This window comes from Homo sapiens, chromosome 3, assembly GCF_000001405.40.
Source record: "Homo sapiens chromosome 3, GRCh38.p14 Primary Assembly".
NCBI classification, from domain to species: domain Eukaryota; kingdom Metazoa; phylum Chordata; class Mammalia; order Primates; family Hominidae; genus Homo; species Homo sapiens.
The window spans coordinates 183215577-183235082 of NC_000003.12; the positions used below are offsets into that span (position 1 = coordinate 183215577).

At 40.9% G+C, this 19506-nt stretch overlaps 1 protein-coding gene across 6 annotated transcripts in view, besides 2 other annotated features; it reads right to left on the minus strand.

The window, feature by feature from the left end:
- MCF2L2 (MCF.2 cell line derived transforming sequence-like 2) overlaps window positions 1-19506 on the minus strand; it is a 250579-nt gene that overhangs the window by 37536 nt on the left and 193537 nt on the right. For 4 of the 6 annotated variants that reach the window (NM_015078.4, XM_011512585.3, XM_047447751.1 and 1 more), the window contains 7 exons: window positions 15375-15441; window positions 14090-14205; window positions 12721-12790; window positions 8522-8614; window positions 7770-7862; window positions 4280-4348; window positions 393-518 (listed from right to left, as the gene is read on the minus strand). In NM_015078.4, coding sequence (NP_055893.4) covers window positions 393-518; window positions 4280-4348; window positions 7770-7862; window positions 8522-8614; window positions 12721-12790; window positions 14090-14205; window positions 15375-15441 — 634 coding nt within the window. Of the gene's footprint in view, window positions 1-392; window positions 519-4279; window positions 4349-7769; window positions 7863-8521; window positions 8615-12720; window positions 12791-14089; window positions 14206-15374; window positions 15442-15557; window positions 15637-19506 lie in introns of those variants that run through there. The other 2 variants (XM_017005945.3, XM_017005946.3) reach the window with 2 other exon arrangements.
- Window positions 18332-18532: a silencer, noted in NCBI's record as "peak4957 fragment used in MPRA reporter construct". NCBI's record gives its function as "represses an SCP1 promoter by STARR-seq MPRAs in K562 erythroleukemia cells {active_cell/tissue: K562}" and the evidence as "EXISTENCE:reporter gene assay evidence [ECO:0000049][PMID:32103011]".
- Window positions 18527-18740: a silencer, noted in NCBI's record as "fragment chr3:182951891-182952104 (GRCh37/hg19 assembly coordinates)". NCBI's record gives its function as "represses an EF-1alpha promoter that drives an FKBP-Casp9 reporter gene in an ReSE screen in HepG2 liver carcinoma cells {active_cell/tissue: HepG2}" and the evidence as "EXISTENCE:reporter gene assay evidence [ECO:0000049][PMID:32094911]".

Sequence of the window (19506 nt, forward strand, 5' to 3'; positions counted from 1 at the left end):
ACCTGTTTCCAAAATACTTTTCTTAGAGAAACTCTGAAACAAGAAGACAAATCTTTTACTATTTTAATAGTGCCATGAGTTAGAAAATAAATTGCTCCTCCAGGACTTTTCCTCTGCCCATATATGTTCTGGCCCTTGACTTTCTGGTTTGTCCAGACAGTGGGTCAGTCCCACATTCAGAACCCTGAGGAATAAATCCAAGATTCCTGAAGATGCCAAGGGACAGCTTGGAATCTTGTAGTGCGGGTTTACTGAGCAATTTAGGCGACTGTCCTCAGAGTCCAATTCCTTTACCATAGACGATCTCTCTGACTTTGCCAGAGCATTTCCTCACTGTGTAGTATTGCACCTGCCTTTTGTGTGAGATGCTCTAACACTACTATGGAACATACCGGACATTCAGTCACTGCTGCTAGGTCCACAGCCAACTCACAGGACTTGATCAAATCCTCTATCACTGCCAAAGCTTGTTGTAGTTCAGTTGAGAATGCTGAATCTTTGGTTCTCTTTGGCCCATCCTGTGGAAAACAAATGCCTTGTTGGAAATCAAAAGTATACCATCTGCAAAGTGAAGAAGGAAAACAGGACAGAGATGAGGAGCCAGGGATCCAGCCAACCCTGACTGAGAAGGGTGGATATTGATCTGTCTCCCTGCTCCCAAAGCATGGTGGCTAAAGATGCTTACTGATTTAGGTATACGGCATAGAGACAAGCAAAATCATCTACCTCTGTGCATTGTACTAGTGACGAATGAAGTTCATAAATCATGGAAATTATATTCCTGCTACATAAGAAACATATAGAATTCAGCTATATAGCTGAATTCTATATGTTTCTTATGTGTATATATATTATATAAATATTTATATAGTATATTAAATATTTATATATTAATATATAATTATATGTTTATATATTAATTATATATATTAAATATTTATATATTATATATTATATAAAATATAAGTATATATATTATATATATATATATATATATATATATATTTTTTTTTTTTTTTTTTTTTTTTTTTTTTTTTTTTGAGAGCGAGAGAGAGTTTCACTCTGTCACCCAGGCTGGAGTGCAGAGGCACGATCTCGGCTCGCTGCAACCTCTGCCTCCTGGATTCAAGCAATTCTCCTGTCTCAGCCTCCCGAGTAGCTGGGATTACAGGTGTGCGCCACCATGCCTGGCTAATTTTTGTATTTTTAGTAGAGACGGAGTTTCGCCATGTTGACCAGGCTGTTCTCAAACTCCTAACCTCAGGTGATCCACCCACCTTGGCCTCCTAAAGTGCTGGGATTACAGGCGTAAGCCACTGTGCCTGGCCAGAATTTAGCTTTTTTAAAGCATGGAAAAACCTAGCTCCTTTTAAATAGGCTTCTCTCTCTTTTATACCCCTATTCCCTGGGGCTTACTGAAAAAAAAAATACCATATGGCCGGGCGGGTGGCTCATGCCTGTAATCCCAGCACTTTGGGAGGCTGAGACAGGCAGAGCACTTGAGGTCAGGAGTTTGAGCCCAGCCTGGCTAACATGGTGAAACCCCGTCTCTACTAAAAATACAAAAATTAGCTTAGTGTGGTGGTGGGCGCCTGTAATCCCAGCTACTTGGGAGGTTGAGGCAGGAGAACAGCTTGAACCCAGGAGGCGGAGGTTGCAGTGAGCCCAGATTGTGTCATTGCACTCCAGCCTGGGTAACAAGAGTGAAACCCCGTCTCAAAAAAAAAAAAAAAAAAAAAAAAAAAAGTAGCTGGGTGTGGTGGTGTGTGCCTGTAATCCCAGCTACTCAGGAGGCTGAGGCAGGAGGATTGCTTGAACACGGGAGGTGGAGTTTGCAGTGAGCCAAGATTGCGCCACTGCACTCCAGCCTGGGCAACAAAGTGAGACCTTGTCTCACAAAAAAAGAAAAAAGAAAAAGAAAAAGAATACAATCTGAGTATCATATTCCTATATTTAATGTGGAAGCCTTATTCCTGTGGGAAAAATTATACTTAAAATCATCCCAGAGGAGGACATTTGTAAACTCCTATAGAGACAAAGAACTCCATAGAGGCTGCTAAGTGGAAATTTACTAATGATTTACATGTAAAAGCTATAACATCATATTTCCACACTGAATCTCCCCCAACTCTGTCCTTCCTTCCTCCACTTGTCCCTGGCCCTCCCCACATTGCACCACCATTAAAGATGCCAAAGAGATAAGCCAGCGCTCTGCACCTCCCGAACATAAAGACTCAGCATTCAGCGGAAAAGCAGTAACTAATTAAAGAGACCAATGTTCCAATTACAACCACAGTGACATTTAGGATGTGATTGGGGTGATTGTTTCAGCTCTAAAGGCTTTTGCATGGGCTTGAGGTATTTTATCTCCCTGCTACCTACATGCTGTATTTATCTGTTACCTGGTAAATACACATAAAAAAATTTTGGTTTATTCAATGTATTTTTTTAACATCTCAAGTTCTGCAGTGAAGAACAGCTAGCCCCTTTGCTGCTCCGCATCTGGCCCTGACTCTTTTTGTCCTCTACAGCACAATGTAGTCACAGGGTTTAATATTTTCTTAATCTATGCGGAAGCACTGGGTATTTGCATCTTTGGATGAGAGACATGAGTGACAGGGCTGATGAATGGAATAGATCGTGCTGCTGCCTCTGAAAAACGTATCATGGATTCGTAGCTTCTCATTCATAATAAAGAAGCTTCGCTTCCTGGTAAAAGAAAACAGACTCTCACCTGAATTTATTTTAACAACATCAATAAGGGATTAAGAGTTCTTGGCAGGGCGCAGTGGCTCACGCCTGTAATCCCAGCACTTTGGGAGGCCGAGGGGGGGAGTGGATCACGAGGTCACGAGATCGAGACCAGCCTGACCAACGTGGTGAAACCCCATCTCTACTAAAAACAAAAATTAGCCGGGCGTGGTGGCGGGTGCCTGTAATCCCAGCTACTCAGGAGGCTGAGGCAGGATAATAGCTTGAACCCGGGAGGCGGAGTTGCAGTGAGCCGAAACTGCGCCATTGCACTCCAGTCTGGGTGACAGAGCGAGACTCTGTCTCAAAAAAATAAAAAAATAAGAAATAATTTTTTTTTAAAGTTCTTATACCAGGCATCTTCCTCCTTACCAAACACTGAATGCTCAGTTTCCTTTCAGATCCTCACCTCTTCCCATCCCCCTTCCTTCCGCTAACCCTCCTTCACAAAACACGAGGTGGCTAGGGTTTTGAACTGTATAATGTAGGGTTCAGAAAAATCCTTTAAAACATTATTAAACTCCTCTAACTAGGGCTAGCTCCTCTTGCTCCAGGCTGTAAAAATATGACCTGTGTCCTGAGCTGCTTCTGTTTTCAACAGGTCCTTGTCATCCATTCTGAGCAGAAAGGGCATGCAAATGACTGCCCCATAAGACATGTCTCAAGTGTTTCTTGCTAAAACCAGAATATTCTATAGGAAAGGGAAGAGAAACCGCACTGCTATAACACAGATTTCTTCCTAACCTGGTGTGGTCATGGTCACCATTTATTCTAAGGGAACTTTGGCAGACTCTTAGAGTTCACACACACGCACACACACACACAGAGGAGAACAAGGCATAACATATAGAAATTAGATATACTAAGAGGTACAAAGAAGAAAACATAATCCTACCATTCAGGAAAGCCACAGCAGACATTTTATCATATCTATTTACTTCCAGTCTTTTATGTATGCATTTTACGTATTTGCTTAATTTTGTTCCCATTAAAATTTTTTTGGCTGGGTGCAGTGGCTCACGCCTGTAATACCAGCACTTTGGGAGGCCGAGGCAGGTGGATCATCTGAGGTCAGGAGTTCAAGACCAGCCTGGCCAACATGGCGAAACCCCGTCTCTACTAAAAATAAAAAAATTAGCTGTGCATGGTGGCGGGCACCTGTAATCCCAGCTACTTGGGAGGCTGAGGCAGGAGAATCGCTTGAACCCGGGAGGCAGAGGTTGCAGTGAGCCAAGATTGCACCATTGCACTCCAGCCTGTGCAATGGAGTGAGACTTTGTCTAAAAAAAAAAAAATTATGTGGAAGGAAGAAAATATATTACCACTTCCATTTGGGCTGCAAATCCCTACTTTAAAATTGCCTTTAATTTTTTTGTTTTTTTTCTTGACTGTGAGTTATAGGATACATACTATTTTAGAAAATCTAGATAATAAAGACCACCAAGTAAAATTGCTATAAATCCTCCGACCCATAGACAAACACCATTAATAGTTAGTTATATAAAATGTAATATTTAATATTGAGTACCTTAGCCGAGCCTCCTAGTTCACCTGGGTCTATCTCCATATCTTCAGGAGACTCGAAATCCAGCAGACCCTGCATTAACCCAAAAGTCTTGTTGAAAATTAAAATGTACATTGCCATCAAAATGTAGATTGTCAACAAAATCTACTGTGCAAACTATCTGCCACCAATGCTAAGCTGACTGAGAACGTGTGTAAATGTGTAAGAGGGAAAGAATAAATGATGTATTTGGCACAGGGTCCTTTCCACAAACCTAGAATCATATTGTACACACTATTTTGTAGACTACTTTTTCTCATTCAACCATACCTCATGAATATTTTCCCATGATATTATGTTTTTCTAAAATATGGGCTTTGATTGTGGTAGAGTGTTATATCTTACAGATAAACCATTTTTCTCATTCAGCAATATCTCATGAATATTTTCCCATGATATTATGTTTTTCTAAAATATGGGCTTTGATTGTGGTAGAGTGTTATATCTTAGAGATAAACCATTTTTCTCATTCAACAATATCTCATGAATATTTTCCCATGATATTATATTTTTTTAAAACATGGGCTTTGGTTGTGGTAGAGTGTTATATCTTATAGATAAACCATAATCGAATTATAGTCCCCCTTATCATTAAACATTTAGGTTCAACAATATTTTTTACTATAATAATGATAATAACTTTTGTGCATTTTTCTTAAAGCTAAATTCCTAGAGTGGAATTGTAAATGTTAAGAGTTTTGAGGCATATTTCCAAGTTCTTCAGAGAAGGACTGTCTTCCTGCCAGCTGTATAGGAAAGCCTGTCTCACCAGCCCCTAGCCTACAAGGGGTAGTACCATTTAATCAAAAATCTTTACCAATTGAATGAAAAGAGAAATCCTACCTCACTGTTGTTTTAATTTGACTTCCTTAGATAACTAGAGGTGTAGAACTTTTTTAAAAAAACGTTTGCTACTAGTGTTTATTCTTTTGCAAATTGCTATGTCCTTTGCGCATCTTTTTATTATAATTTCCAAGAGCACATGATTCATTAAGCATACTGATCATCTGTTACATATTTTGTTCACATTTTCCCCAATGTTTCATGAGTCTGTCTTTAATGGTATAAGCTATCACTCATCACCCTCTCCCCAAGATCCCATGATCCTTTCTAAAGCATGAGGCAATCAGTCCAACATTCATGCTCTTTCAAGCCAGCACATGTGTGCGAGATGCAAAATAAGCTCTGCCCCTGGGGATAGAGAAGGTCCTAGATAGGATTACAAGGTCGTTCCTTTCTTTGCAGGCACGTAATGGCCTGAGCTGGTTTCACAGGCACCAGCAAGCTTAGCTGTGGGGACACTGCTCTGGTCTGCCTTGGGTAGCTCCCACGGCTCCTCACAGACCCCCCGCAAAATATTTTGTAGTAATTCTATCTCTTGTTTCTTCAGTGAAAGGCAGCTAACAAAACCTTCTAAGTCCTTTTAACCTGTATTATCTCATTTAATGCTCCCAACAAGCATACCAGGAAAGTACTATTATTATCTTATTTCTATAGGTGAGAAATCTGAGGCTGAGAGAGGTTAAGTAACTTGCCTGAGTTCACGCAGCCTGGAAGGGTCAGAGCCTGGATTCAGACCCAGGTTGTTAAACTCTCGAGTCTGTGTTTCCAATGACGATGCCCCACAGCCCTCTGCGTCTGGTACCGAACCTAGCTCCTATGTAAATGTCACCTCTGTGGGAAAGCTGGAACCTAGGCTGAGGGAGGAAGGACCATCACTTTCGTCCTGCTCATGCCTCACTGGGCCCAGAGGTTGGACTTCTACAATAGGAATGACAGTGACAATGGGACATGCAGAGGAGCATGAGGCCCTGAGTGAGTGCTGGGTCAAACATGCTCTGAGGTGCTGCTCGCTGAAAGAAGCAGATCATTATCCTCATTTCTATGGTGGTGTGACAGTCTCAATGTCTAAGATAACAGCTACACATCATGCAGAGCTTCCTGGGCTGTGCCAAGCCCTCCGCATGTGCTAATCATCTGCTTCATAACGATCTTATGGAGGAGGTTCTAGTACCCTCATTTTACATAGAGGAAAACTAAGGCCCAAGAGGGCAAGGTCTCATAACTGACAAATGGCAGAGTACACCGAGGCTGAAACTGCTAATGGAAAGCTTGAAAGGAGTAACTTTGAAAAAATGTTTTTAAAATTATTTTTACAGATGAGGTCTTGCTATGTTGCCCAGGCTAGTCTTGAACTCCTGGACTGAAGGGATGCCTCCTGCCTCCACCTCCTGAGTAGCTGCTGGGACTACAGGTGTGTGTTATCATGTCTGGCCTGAAAGGGGTAACTTTTTCTGAGGGGAGACTGTTGGGCAATGAGCTTAACCTTCCTGAGCCTCAGTTTCTTCACAGTCCAGAGCATGGCTGGTATGTCTGATTGTGGAGATTAAATAAGAAATACTGTAATCCCAGCACTTTGGGAGGCTGAGGTGGGCAGATCACGAGGTCAGGAGTTCAAGACCAGCCTGGCCAACATGGTGAAACCCCGTCTCTACTAAAAATACAAAAATTAGCCAGGCATGGCGGCGCGTGCCTGTAATCTCAGCTACTTGGGAGGCTGAGGCAGGAGAATTGCTTGAACCTGGGAGGCAGAGGTTGCAGTGAACTGAGATCGCGCCATTGCACTCCAGCCTAGGCAGAGTCTCACTCTGTCTCAAAAAAAAAGAAAGAAAGAAAGAAAAAAGAAATACACGTGGGGAAGTACCCAGTAAACAGTAGGTGCTTGTTTTTGTTTTTGTTTTTGTTTTTTATTAAGAAATAGTGGCCACTGGGCAAGAGCTACCTAAATGCCTTATAGAGGTTAATTCAACAGACAACTTATCGTGGTGGCCCAAACCTTTCTCTCAAGCTCACACCTAGAAAACCAGCCATGATAGGCCCTCATATCCTGTTTGGAGTGTCTGAGAATGCTTGCCTGCAGATGTGCTAGTGTCAATGACTTATCACTAAGGAGGGGTAAAGGTCAGAGAGAGAGAGAGAAAACCACTTAGGGGTTCAGGGTTCAGATATAGCAAAGTTCATTCTGTTAGGCTGCTCTCAGGGTAAGATCCTAAATCTAAGAATGGAGGTCAGTGCTGCAAAAGGATAGAAGACTTCAGTTTTGTCTTCTCCCTTCCACAAGTTAAAATGCCCATAAAACAGTAACTTTGGGGAAAATCACACTCTCGCTCCCAAAGAGCTCTCTTCCCCTAAGCCAGACTCCTTAGTGATTCATGCCCTGAGCTAGACATTGGACTAGTGAGGCCCTCAGGTGCCCTCCAACTCTATGATTCTTTGGTCTTACTCCACATTGAAGAGGGCTGATTTAGAGTTGGAGGAAAGAAAAAGCCTGCAGGATAGACGTATCTTCAGCCTTAGAAGACCAAGGCACAGCTCTACATGTGTAACGACATGGGCACCACAGTGCAGGCGTCTGGTTTCCCACCAAGGAAAAGCACTGTCTCATTGATTTTACCTTCAACAGCATCTGGTATTTTATAAGTCTCTGGCTTGGTCCTTTGAGATACTTAAAAAGAGGGAGATTGTGATCCAGTTGGCGCTGGCATACCTTTAAAAGCCAAATAGAAACAACATAAAGCAAAACAAACAACACACACAGAATAAAAGTGGCAGCATTTAGGTACAAAACACAAAATTGCTTTTCCTGGACAACAGGGGCAGCTGTGTCGAGCAGCTCCATAAGGCTGTGGGGTTGTTCTTTCCCCTAGGAACAGTGTGTGAAATAAGAGAAAGAGGAAAGAGGACGGCTCGGCTAATATTTTTACAGGCATCTAGGGAAGCAGAACCATTTATTTCTTTTAGAAAGCAAGTTCACTAGAAGACAGTGGGGCATTTCAAGTCCTTCTGAAAAAGAGGCCACCTATCTTCAAGTTGGGGGCTGCCAGAGTCTATTCAGGCCTTTTGGAGCCTGAAGGATACAGACGGTTTGTAGACATCATTCCAGGGAGCCCAAAGTGTGACATTTTTTACTTAGTTTCATTTTTAAAACCCATCTTAGAAGAAGACACTGGTTTTCTCACCAGATATAGGTGCTCCTCACAGGCCTATCCCATTACAACTTTTCATGTGTAATTTCAAAGTATGGGACACTTTAAATAAACATAAATCGCAATGCCAAGTTCCTCTCCCTAGTCCCACTTTTGATTTCTTTAACAACTTGATGCATAGAAACATTTTCCAGGAAGAAGTTTGTCTTCTCAACATTACCCCAAAGTAGGCGCAGTCTTGACACTCTTGCCAGATTGCCCTAGCTCGGGGCAGATTCTTATGGTATTTAAAATATATCTGAAGATCTTCTTTCTAGGTGGGAAAAAATTAGAATAAATTAATCAGGCAGCATTTTTCAGTAAGTGGACAGGATGATACAGTTTATTCATTCATTCAACAAGCCAGAGTATTCTAATGTGTAAGGAATTGGGGGTGTACAGTAAGTAATCTTATGTTGGGATGTGTGTGTGATGGAGAGATAAACAGAAGGCTTTAAACAACCATAACTACCAGACATAGATAGGCACAGAGTGCTCTGGGAGCATCTACAAGGGCTATTGGTAAATACATAAGTAGACTCACAAACAGGAATTGGTTTTTATCTTTATCATTCTTTTCCTGCCCTTTGTCCAGGACATCGACATCTCCCCACAACAGGTCTGCAATGAGTAGTAAAACTGACAGAAAAGAGGCTGGTGTTTGATGGTCCCCCTCTCTTCTCTCTCCACCCTCTCCTTGTGGTCATCGTGACACCAACCCTGCAAAGAAGCCCAAGAAACAACCAAAAGATGGAAACATGCCAGAGGGGAGATGTGGTAGATCGGGCAACCAATACGGAGCTCAGTCATTTGGGCAACCCTCAAAGTGACAGGCTCCGCCTCAAACATCACTTTCAACCTGCAGCACAAGACTCTGAGACAGGAAATGTTATGTGACTGTTTCGGAGCTAGAGAGCAAGGAGGACTCAACGTGCTGTTCAACCTGTATTCTCATGGTATCAAAGACGCTGAGAGGTGGGCACATATCTGCCAATCTCCCGGAGAGAAAGCACACTCCAAGCCTCTGGCGTCAGCTTGCCAGCTTCACTCGCTCTATCAGGGAGCCTGGCCCACAGCGGCTGTGCTGGCCACAGATCCCATGCCATTCTGGTGGAGAAGCCCATGTAGCCACCTCCTTGCAGAAGTCTGTGTCCCTGTCCTCCTGCTCAGCCCAACTCTGGATTTCCTTCATGTCAACACAGATGATTCCTTCCCTCTCAGCTTCAATGATGCCTGTTCTACTCCCAAATACATTGCTATAGTGGATGACTTCCATTTCTGTAGCTCTTTCTTTCTCCCAATAGGTTGTAAGTGGTCATTTCAGCATAGGAACTACAGCAACCGTCCTTTGCTATTCCCTCCAGGAAAAAAATGGCACACACATTTAAGACAGATGGCCCTTGAAAAATGTTCAGACTGGTTAAGGAGCTAGAATAATAACTCAGAGCTTAACAATATAGTATTGACCTAAATTGCTCTTCTAAAGGCTAACAGTCCAAAATTCCTCAGAGAAAGGATGTCCACTAACCAGCAACATACAAAAGTGCCCAATTCTCCTAATCTCCTTATAGAATGAATCAGGAGGCTATAAAATTGCTACCAGAAACTCATATTCACACAAGAATACATACTTGCTTACGGATTAAGACTGCGGGGCTCTGGTGGCGGATGGTCCAGGTTCAGTTCTTGGCTTTGCCAAATACAAATCATATGGCCTAAAGTAAGTTACCTAACCTTCCTAGACTTCAGTTTCCTCATCTGTTAAGTGGGCCCATAACAGTAGTCAACTCCTGTGACTGTTGTGAGATTAAATGAGATGATGTATAGAAACCTCTCCACAAATGCCCAATGGATAGAGTACTCAAAAAATGGTGGCTATTGTCAAAGCACTTTTTACTTTATGGAATCCTCTGCATACATTATTTTGTTTCCCACAACAACTGTACATATTGGTACTATTAGCCTGTTGTGTGGAGGAGGAAAGTGAGATTCCAAAGTTTAAGTTATTTACTGGAGGTCATGCAGATAGCAAGTGGCTTGACCAACATGATAAATCGGGTTTCCTGACTTACCAGTTACTCCCACATATCAGTGTGAGCACCCATTCCAGTGCTCTTTCCATTTTACCATGTGAGATCTCAGAGTACTTGGAACCCACAGTACACTATGGACAAATATTATTCTATATAGAACATGGTCTCTGGAGGAGAATTGTTTCAGAAGATACAGGCTAAAGAGGCTGATTAAAACACTTGGTCAGAAAACTATTTCAAAATTCATTATCTTGGAAGGCCGAGGTGGGCGGATCACGAGGTCAGGAGATGGAGACCATCCTGGCCAACATGATGAAACCTCGTCTCTACTAAAAATACAAAAATTAGCCGGGCGTGGTGGCACATGCCTGTAATCCCAGCTACGAGGGAGGGTGAGGCAGGAGAATCGCTTGAATCAGGGAGTCAGAGGTTGCAGTGAGCCGAGATCACGCCACAGCACTCCAGCCTGGTGACAGAGCGAGACTCCGTCTCAAGAAAAAAAAAAAAAGTACTACTTGTATTTTGTCTCTAACATCATAAATCACATAGGGCTAAGTCAGTGTTTTCTGGCTGGGTTAATGATTTACAATGTTCCTCCCAACATGGCGGGGCGCTATCAAAAAACTTTGTAAAACTTTACAATTTAGGAGAGGAATTCAGAAAAGGTATTTAGTTAATAATTCTCTGACAATTTCCTCATATTTGAACAATTTGATAATATCCACTTTCCCACAGGAACTTTGCCCATTTCTCATTGAGCAATTTAAATAATCTTTGCAGTAATGACATACATAACCATAAAATACTTCTAATCTCTGAAACTAGATTTCACATTAGTCGTTTGTTAAGTGCAAAAATTCAAAATAGTATATAAAGCACTAATAATGTAATAGTTCAAAAAAATTAATGAATCAGAATGAGTATAAAATAGTTTTCAGTGTACATTGAATTCTGGTGCTTTGACACAAAGCCTATGATGAGTTGACATGGAAAGCCATATGGGGCCACCAAAAGGCTCTGAGCATGGAAGATTCCTTCTCTCCATTAATGTCAAATATCTTGAAACCTGGAGGCTTTGTTTGCTTCCAGTTATCATAAGTATTGCTCTCAGCCTCAGTCATAATATGAGTTGCTTACAACTTTAAGTTGTTTGATCTGTTGCCTTGGGTTCACAAAAATAAAAATAAGAAAGAGAATGAGAAGGACTAGTTGAGAAAGAGAGGAGAAATGAGAACTATTTAGAAGGCACAGGGGGTCAGGATCATCTCCATGGTCGTGTCCTAGAAAGTACCTGGTGGGGATTGATGTTGGGTGGAACATTTCTCTGTGGCAGCTCCCACTGGCCCATATAGCCTATTTGTTGCCTAAAACAGGGTGGAGAAACAGGGAAAGAGGGAAGAAGTCTGGGAGGTGGGAAGAAGGGGTAGTTGGAGGTATAATGTTGTAGGCCAAGATGTTCATAAATTGAGTACTAAGCCTAAAGGAGGCTGTAGATTTAGAATTTTCGAATCATCCTCTATGTTGTAAAAAATAGAATGGAAAGAAAATGTATTTCCTGAGGTTTTTAGTTTAACACCAGTGCTTCTCCTCTTGAGAGCATTAGTACAGCTTTATTGTGGGACTCTAACCTCGCTGTATGATTCTTGTTTTAAAACGTAGTTGAGTCATTCAGAAGAGGATCCTCTGCTTTGGGGACCATGGATGGCCAGCCTTCCATTTCATGGGGCTTTGCAGGAAGCCAGGCTTGCGGTTACTCCCACATATCAGTGTGAGCTCAGTCAAATTGGACTCATTCTCACCTTGGATAAAGTCAGATAAAGTTGGGAGGCCAACTCATGTTTTCCATTCAAAGGGCAGATACAAGATATACTGTCTTGACAAATTGCAAGTGTACAGTACAGTATTATTCCATGATAGTCGCCATGCTGTGCGTTACATCTCCAGGACTTACTCATCTCATAACTGCAAGTTTGTACCCTGTGACCAACATCTCCCTACTTCCTCTAGACTCCAGCCCCTGGCAACCACCCTTCTACTTCAATGAGCTCAACTGTTTTTGGATTATATATATATACATATACACACACACACACACACAATGGTAATGAATGTATTCATTAACTTGATTGCAGTAATCATTTCACAGGGTGTAAGTATATCAAACCATCATGTTGTATAGTTTGAATATATGCAATTTTTATTTACCAATTATACTTCAGTAAAGCTTGGAGTCGGAGGGAAGCAGATATGTTTTTAGACCATTGATGTTTCCATTTGTCCTTGCCACTTAACGCAGAAATGTAAGGGCTGACTTTAACATGATTATTTACTGGGAGTACAGACTTACTCTCTTGAGAAAGCAATGTGCCAGAAGTTCAGGGTTCTCAGCACACTTTTCCAACTCTTTTAGAAAAGTCCTAGAAAAATAAAAGTATACAAGTAATAATGTTTTGATTTTGACATGTAGGTAATTAATTTTTTAAGTACAATCACATAAGGTTTCAAGAGGTGCCTAGAAAAATGTTCTCCAGGCCTTCTTGCTCTTATCTTCTACACATTGATTCAGAAAAAAAAGCTGTATTCTGAGGTATTACTACAATTACCCTGAAATCACTCACAACTTTAAGTTGTTCGATCTGTTGCCTTAGGTTCACAAAAAGAAAAATAAGAAAGAGAATGAGAAGAACTAGTTGGGAAAGAGAGGAGAAATGAGAACTACTCAGAAGGCACAGGGGGTCAGGATCATCTCCAATTATCAGAACACAGCTGTTCGGGTAATTCTAAGCACTAGTCATAGATAGACTGGATACATTCACTGATGCTCTCTCTTACATGAAAGTAACGTTCATAAGAACTGCTGCTGCTGCTGTTGCTATTACTAATATCATTGACAGCTTACTATAAGCCAGGCATAAGCTAAGTGCTCCGCAAATAGTATCTCATTTAATCCTCAACCAAAGATAGGGTTTTATAAATATAAAACCTGGGGCTCAAAGAGGCTACATAACTTCTCTGGGGAAATCAACAGAAATGGGTTTCCATTTCAGTTTTGCGTCTGACCAACGGACGAGGAATGGGGTTAGGAAGCAACTGTGGTTCAATTCACCAAGCAGCTTTTCTCCCTCTGTGAATTAGGTGTGCAATCTTGGGGTCATCATAGCGAATAAAGAGAGTTAACAAGTTACCATTCCCATATGTGTAACATGAAAGGGTTTGAAGATGATTTCCAAAGTCCCTTATTCCTGCAATTCTCTAGAACTCAATATCCAAGCAGCCCCGAGTTAAAAGTACAACTTGTTTGAGCAGTCAGCATTTTCTAACACCCTAGTTCCCAGCATCCCCTTATGATAGTAGTATGGAGATGTGTATCTTGGTCATCTTTGTATTCCCAATGCTGAGCACAGTGCCTGGCACAGAACAGGTGCTCAAAAAATGCTGATGCATGAATAAATAAACAAAGGAACACTCAACTGCATACAACATGGATGTCTGACACTGGGTCCCTGTTCCTTTGATGTCTCTTCCCTTTCTCTCCAGGGATCCTGTGGGGCTTCTCCCCTCCTTTCACTCCAACCCACCCCAATCCAATCCACTGACTCCAAACCACTTGCTTAAACCTGAAAACATCTAAGTGTTTTCATCTCTCAATTCCATCAGTCTCATTTCCACCCTTCTCTTACTCTCCATTCTTTCTGATAACATGAATTATTATATACCTGTTGTGAAATTCGTAAAGTTCTCTAATATTCCCAAAGAGAAAGTCCTTGTTATTCTGAAGAACATCTGGAATTAGATGCTTTAGCCAAATAAAATCCATTGGAGTGATATATCCCTGCAGAGGTGCAAACAAGGTAGGTGTTACAAACAGGAACATACCAGAGATCATCTGAATTAGCTACTGCAAAACCCAAAACTTTAGTGAAATGATTGAAGAATATAGCACACTTGTTTCTTGAAAGCTATCGTATTGAGTACTTTCTTTTGATATCATTTTCCTCATGTGCCCACTTTCAGAAGGAGATGGCTTAATGGCAATGATCATAAAATGGCATTTTTGTGGGAAGAACAAATATATTTAAAAATGTTTATGTTACACAGGTTTAATCTAAAAGAAGGGAAAATGTACCCACTGTTTTATGAACTAATACAATTACTATTATTATTATGATTATTATTAATATTGAGACGAAGTTTTGCTCTTCTTCCCAGGCTGGAGTGCAATGGCGTGATCTCGGCTCACTGCAACCTCCGCCTCCTGGGTTCAAGTGATTCTTCCGTTTCAGACTCCCAAGTAGCTGGAATTACAGGCACACACCACCACACCTGGCTAATTTTCGTATTTTTAGTAGAGACAGGGTTTCACCATGTTGGCCAGGCTGGTCTCAAACTTCTGACCTCAGGCGATCCACCCGCCTCGGCCTCCCAAAATGCTGGGATTACAGGCGTGAGCCACTGCATCCGGCCCAATAATTATTTTTTAATATCTGAATAATGTTTACTCAGCATATATATCATAGTTTACTAAACATTCCCTTTTTATGGACATTTGGGTTGCTTCTAATATTTTATGGTAAAAATGTGATTATAAATAATCGCGTACATATAATTTTTTCCTTAAGATTATTCCCTTAGGAAAATAGGGAAAACATGCATTTTTACTCTTAAGAAAAAGACTACTTTAAAAAAACAAGAAATAATCTTCCCTTATTAAAGTATCAGGAACACTTATAATATCCTTTGTTGGCAAGAAGATGGTAAACCTATTTGGGCTTTGCTGGAATCAGTGTGAACTGGCTTAATTCTTTGGAAACTATTTGGCTACATGGATCAAGAAACCACAGGGATGTTCTTATTCCTACTGGAGACACTTGTAATATTCTAAGACCTGAAACCTTGGTGGGAATTCTGGAGACTTCTGGCAACTATTTTGAGTCTCTTTGTACAACAAAACATCTGCAGTTTGAATATATGCTTGATACCCCACTCCCCAAATCTACTTACATCAATTATGCTTTTAATCTCTTTTATGTAAATCTCTTCAGTCTCAAGCAAGTCACGTATAATGCGCCTGAATCACAGCAGCAGGTGGGAGGGTGAAAGAGAGAGAGACAGGGAGAGGAGAATGTTCTTTTAGAATTCTGTTAGAATAATGCTCATCAATACAGTTCCCTTTTAGTGGCTCACCTACTTAGTTTCTGGTCAGTTCATTCTGTTCTATTGAACACCCAAGGTCAGCATCTCACAAACGCACACTGTGATCACACTGGTATCAAGAAGAAACAGCAAGGTTAGAGAACTCAAAATCCTTTAGGCAGCCAGTGAATGACCTGTCCTCTGGGTGGGCCATATAGTGTGGGGGTCAAGAAGGGAGATGTTGGAGTCAGAAATACCAGGTCTGGATCCTTAGTCAAGGAAGGTCTGCCTGACCCCACCCCCACCCCCTATATTGTATACATTGTATAAGTGGTTTCCTAGATTTTCTCTCCAGCTTTCTGCTCACATCAAGCTTTCTTTTCCTTTTAAGAGAAAGGGTCTTGCCCTGTTGCCCAGGAATGAGTGCAGTGGCATGATCATGGCTCACTGTAGCCTTGAACTCCCGGGCTCCAGCAACCCTCCTGCCTCAGCCTCCCAAGTAGCTAGGGCTACAGATATGCACCATCACACCCAGCTAACGCCTTTTTTTTTTTTTGGTAGAGATGAGGTCTTGCTATGTTACCCAGGCTGGTCTCAAACTGCTACTTTCAAGCAATCCTCCTGCCTTTGCCTCCCAAACTGCTGGGATTATAGGTGTGAGACACTGTGCCAGGCCAGATCCAGATCTTTGACCCATATGGATGTATTTTGTTGTACATGGGGTTAGATGTATGCTAGCTCCTTCCTCTGGCATTGGATGTTTCACTGTGATTTCCTAAGGCAAAAGATATGACTTCTGTCTGCTTCTGTCAAGGAATGCAGGTGGAAGATGTGGTGGACAGAATTTAAGACGGTCCCCAAGACTTCTGGCCCCACTGCACATACGCCTCTTCCAATCAAACACTAATTTAGGGGATGCTGTGGAAGGATTTTGCTGTTCATTTGATAGGTAATCCAGTTGGGCCTGTCCTAATCATATGAACTCAGATCTATATGGGTCAAGTGGTCAGAGACTGGAAGCATAAAAAAGATTCAACACAAAGGAGATTCCCCTTTGCTGACTTTTGAGATGGAGGGGGCCAGATGGAATGGAATGTGGGCAGCCGTAGGAACTGAGAGTGGCTCCCAGCTGACAGGCAGCAAGGAAGGGAAATCAGTCCTATAGTTGCAAGGAACCGAGTCCTGCCACAACCACGCGAACTTAGAAGAGGATCCAGAGCTCCACATGAAAACACAGCCAGCCAACACCTTGACTTTAGCCTTGTGGGACTCCTGTCCCAGGGAAACTGTAGGTCTCCTAAGTTTGTGGTCAGTTTTTATATAGCAATAGAAAACCAGTAGAAAGAGTAAGGCCAGTCCCCACATCTATCCCAGACAGACTTTCTTTCTCTCCTCAGGCTACGTGGCCATATTTATTATTTCTTTTAGGAGTCCAAGTAGATGAGTGTTTATACATGTGTCCTTGTGTAGAATATATATATTTATTCTTGTTAACTATTGATGGATTATCTATTAAATGGCAGCCTCTCCTAGAAAATGATTTGTTTTTCTCTCATAAAAATGGATGTGACAAATGATCCAATAGAAAAAAATGGGAAAGGACACAAAATAGGAGATTCACACAAATATTCAAATGGATATGAGACTCGTGGAAAAAATACTCAGTACATACATTCAACGAAGGCATATTTTAAAAGAGCAACAATTTTCATCTATTAGAATATTAAACATTTCAAACCTCATAGAAAGACTGGTAAATGAGGGTGTGGAAAAACCCTCACACAATATTGGTAAAATGTGTAAATTTGTGCAAGCTCTTTGGAAGGTAATTTAGAAACATCTCACCCAAATGTAAAACACGTGCTCCTTGGTTCAGTAATTTCACTTCTAGGAATGTTCATTGTTTATAATTAGGACAATATAACTTCAACAACAACCAGATATAAACTGGTTACTTAAATGCTCATCAAAAAATTATGGTACATGGGCCGGGCATGGTGGTTCACCCCTGTAATCCCAGCACTCTGGGAGGCTGAGGCAGGTGGATCACTTGAGGCCAGGAAATCGAGACCAGCCTGGCCAACATGGTGAAACCCTGTGTCTACTAAAAATACAAAAAATTAGATGGGTGTGGTAGCGCATGCTTGTAATCCCAGCTACTTGGGAGGGTGACGCAGGATAATTACTCGAACCCAGGAGGTGGAGATTGCAGTGAGCCGAGATCACACCATTGCACTCCAGCCTGGGCAACAAGAGTGAAACTCCATCTCAAAAAAAAAATATATATATACATACATATAGATATAGATAGATATATGTGTGTGTGTGTGTATATATATATACATATATATGGTACATACATATAATGATGAAATACCATGCAATTGTTAAAAAGAATGAGGCTGACTAAAACACTGATATGACAGAGGCCAGGTATTTTTAGTGAAAAAACAAAACAAGACGTAGACAAGTAAGCATAGTATGACTATTTGTGTAAAAAATGAATGTGTATGTAGAAATATACGTAAAACTGTATATGCTCAGAAAATTTATGCAAAGAAACTTAACACATTGTTAAAAGTGATTGCTTTTGGAGAGTGGTACTGAAAGCTAAAGTATGGGAAAGGAGAATTTCTACATCTTACTCTATACCCTTCTACAATCTTTTTTAAAGTGAAACATTTACTGCTTTTATAATGGAAAAATAGGGTTTACATAATATTTTAAAATGAATGTTACTGGAGGTAATGATATGTAAACCCTATTTGATAGATATAAATAAATAATACAATTCACATATTTTACAGCTCATTATTCTTTCTTATAATCATTTTTGTGTCTATTTATAAATACTTGTATAAGACAAGACTGATAAACAAGATGTACCACAGAGGATGTAATTTCCGGAAGTCTAAAACTCCCAAAAAGTTACTTAAACATCATACTTTACTAAGTCACTGAGAAAGAGGTTCCTATGCCTTTTATAAATCACCCGGAAACAACAACGGTTTCTATGTCAGAAGGAAGTACAGGCCTCAATACCAATATGTTTCTACGAGCCCTGGCATCAAGTGGGACCACAGCAACAGTTAAGCATTCATGGAAAACCTGAGTACAATCAGCCTCTTATGCCTTCATGAAGCACTGGGCTTAAGCAACTTGGCAAGCTGGCTTCAGGATGCATTGACAATTAAAGGAAGTCAGAAGGCAGAAATAACCAGGAGGTGGACAGAAGTCAAGGTTATTATCCAAAAATGATCTATGAACTTAAGAGACTCTTAGGAGCTTTTAGGACTCTAATACAGGAAAATATTCACATCTCTGAAGGAAAAGAAATCCCTTGGTCATATTCTGGATTACAGTTTGGAAAAAAAGTCTAGAAATCTCATCCAACTGCTTCATTTTACCTGTTGGAGTGCAAGAGATAAAATGCCAAGGATAGGAACTCCACTGAAGAATGTAGGCAAATCAATATTCATTAAATACATTCAAATTAATATATGACTTAAAAAGAGCCCTCACATCAGTGTTAGGCCATTGCTTTTCCTTGCTTCTCTTGTTTTCCTTTCAAATACCTTTATAAAATAGGAGAAAATGTATGACTCTTTTTTTTTTTTTTTTTTTTTTATTATACTCTAAGTTTTAGGGTACATGTGCACATTGTGCAGGTTAGTTACATATGTATACATGTGCCATGCTGGTGCGCTGCACCCACTAATGTGTCATCTAGCATTAGGTATATCTCCCAATGCTATCCCTCCCCTCTCCCCCGACCCCACCACAGTCCCCAGAGTGTGATATTCCCCTTCCTGTGTCCATGTGATCTCATTGTTCAATTCCCACCTATGAGTGAGAATATGCGGTGTTTGGTTTTTTGTTCTTGCGATAGTTTACTGAGAATGATGGTTTCCAATTTCATCCATGTCCCTACAAAGGATATGAACTCATCATTTTTTATGGCTGCATAGTATTCCATGGTGTATATGTGCCACATTTTCTT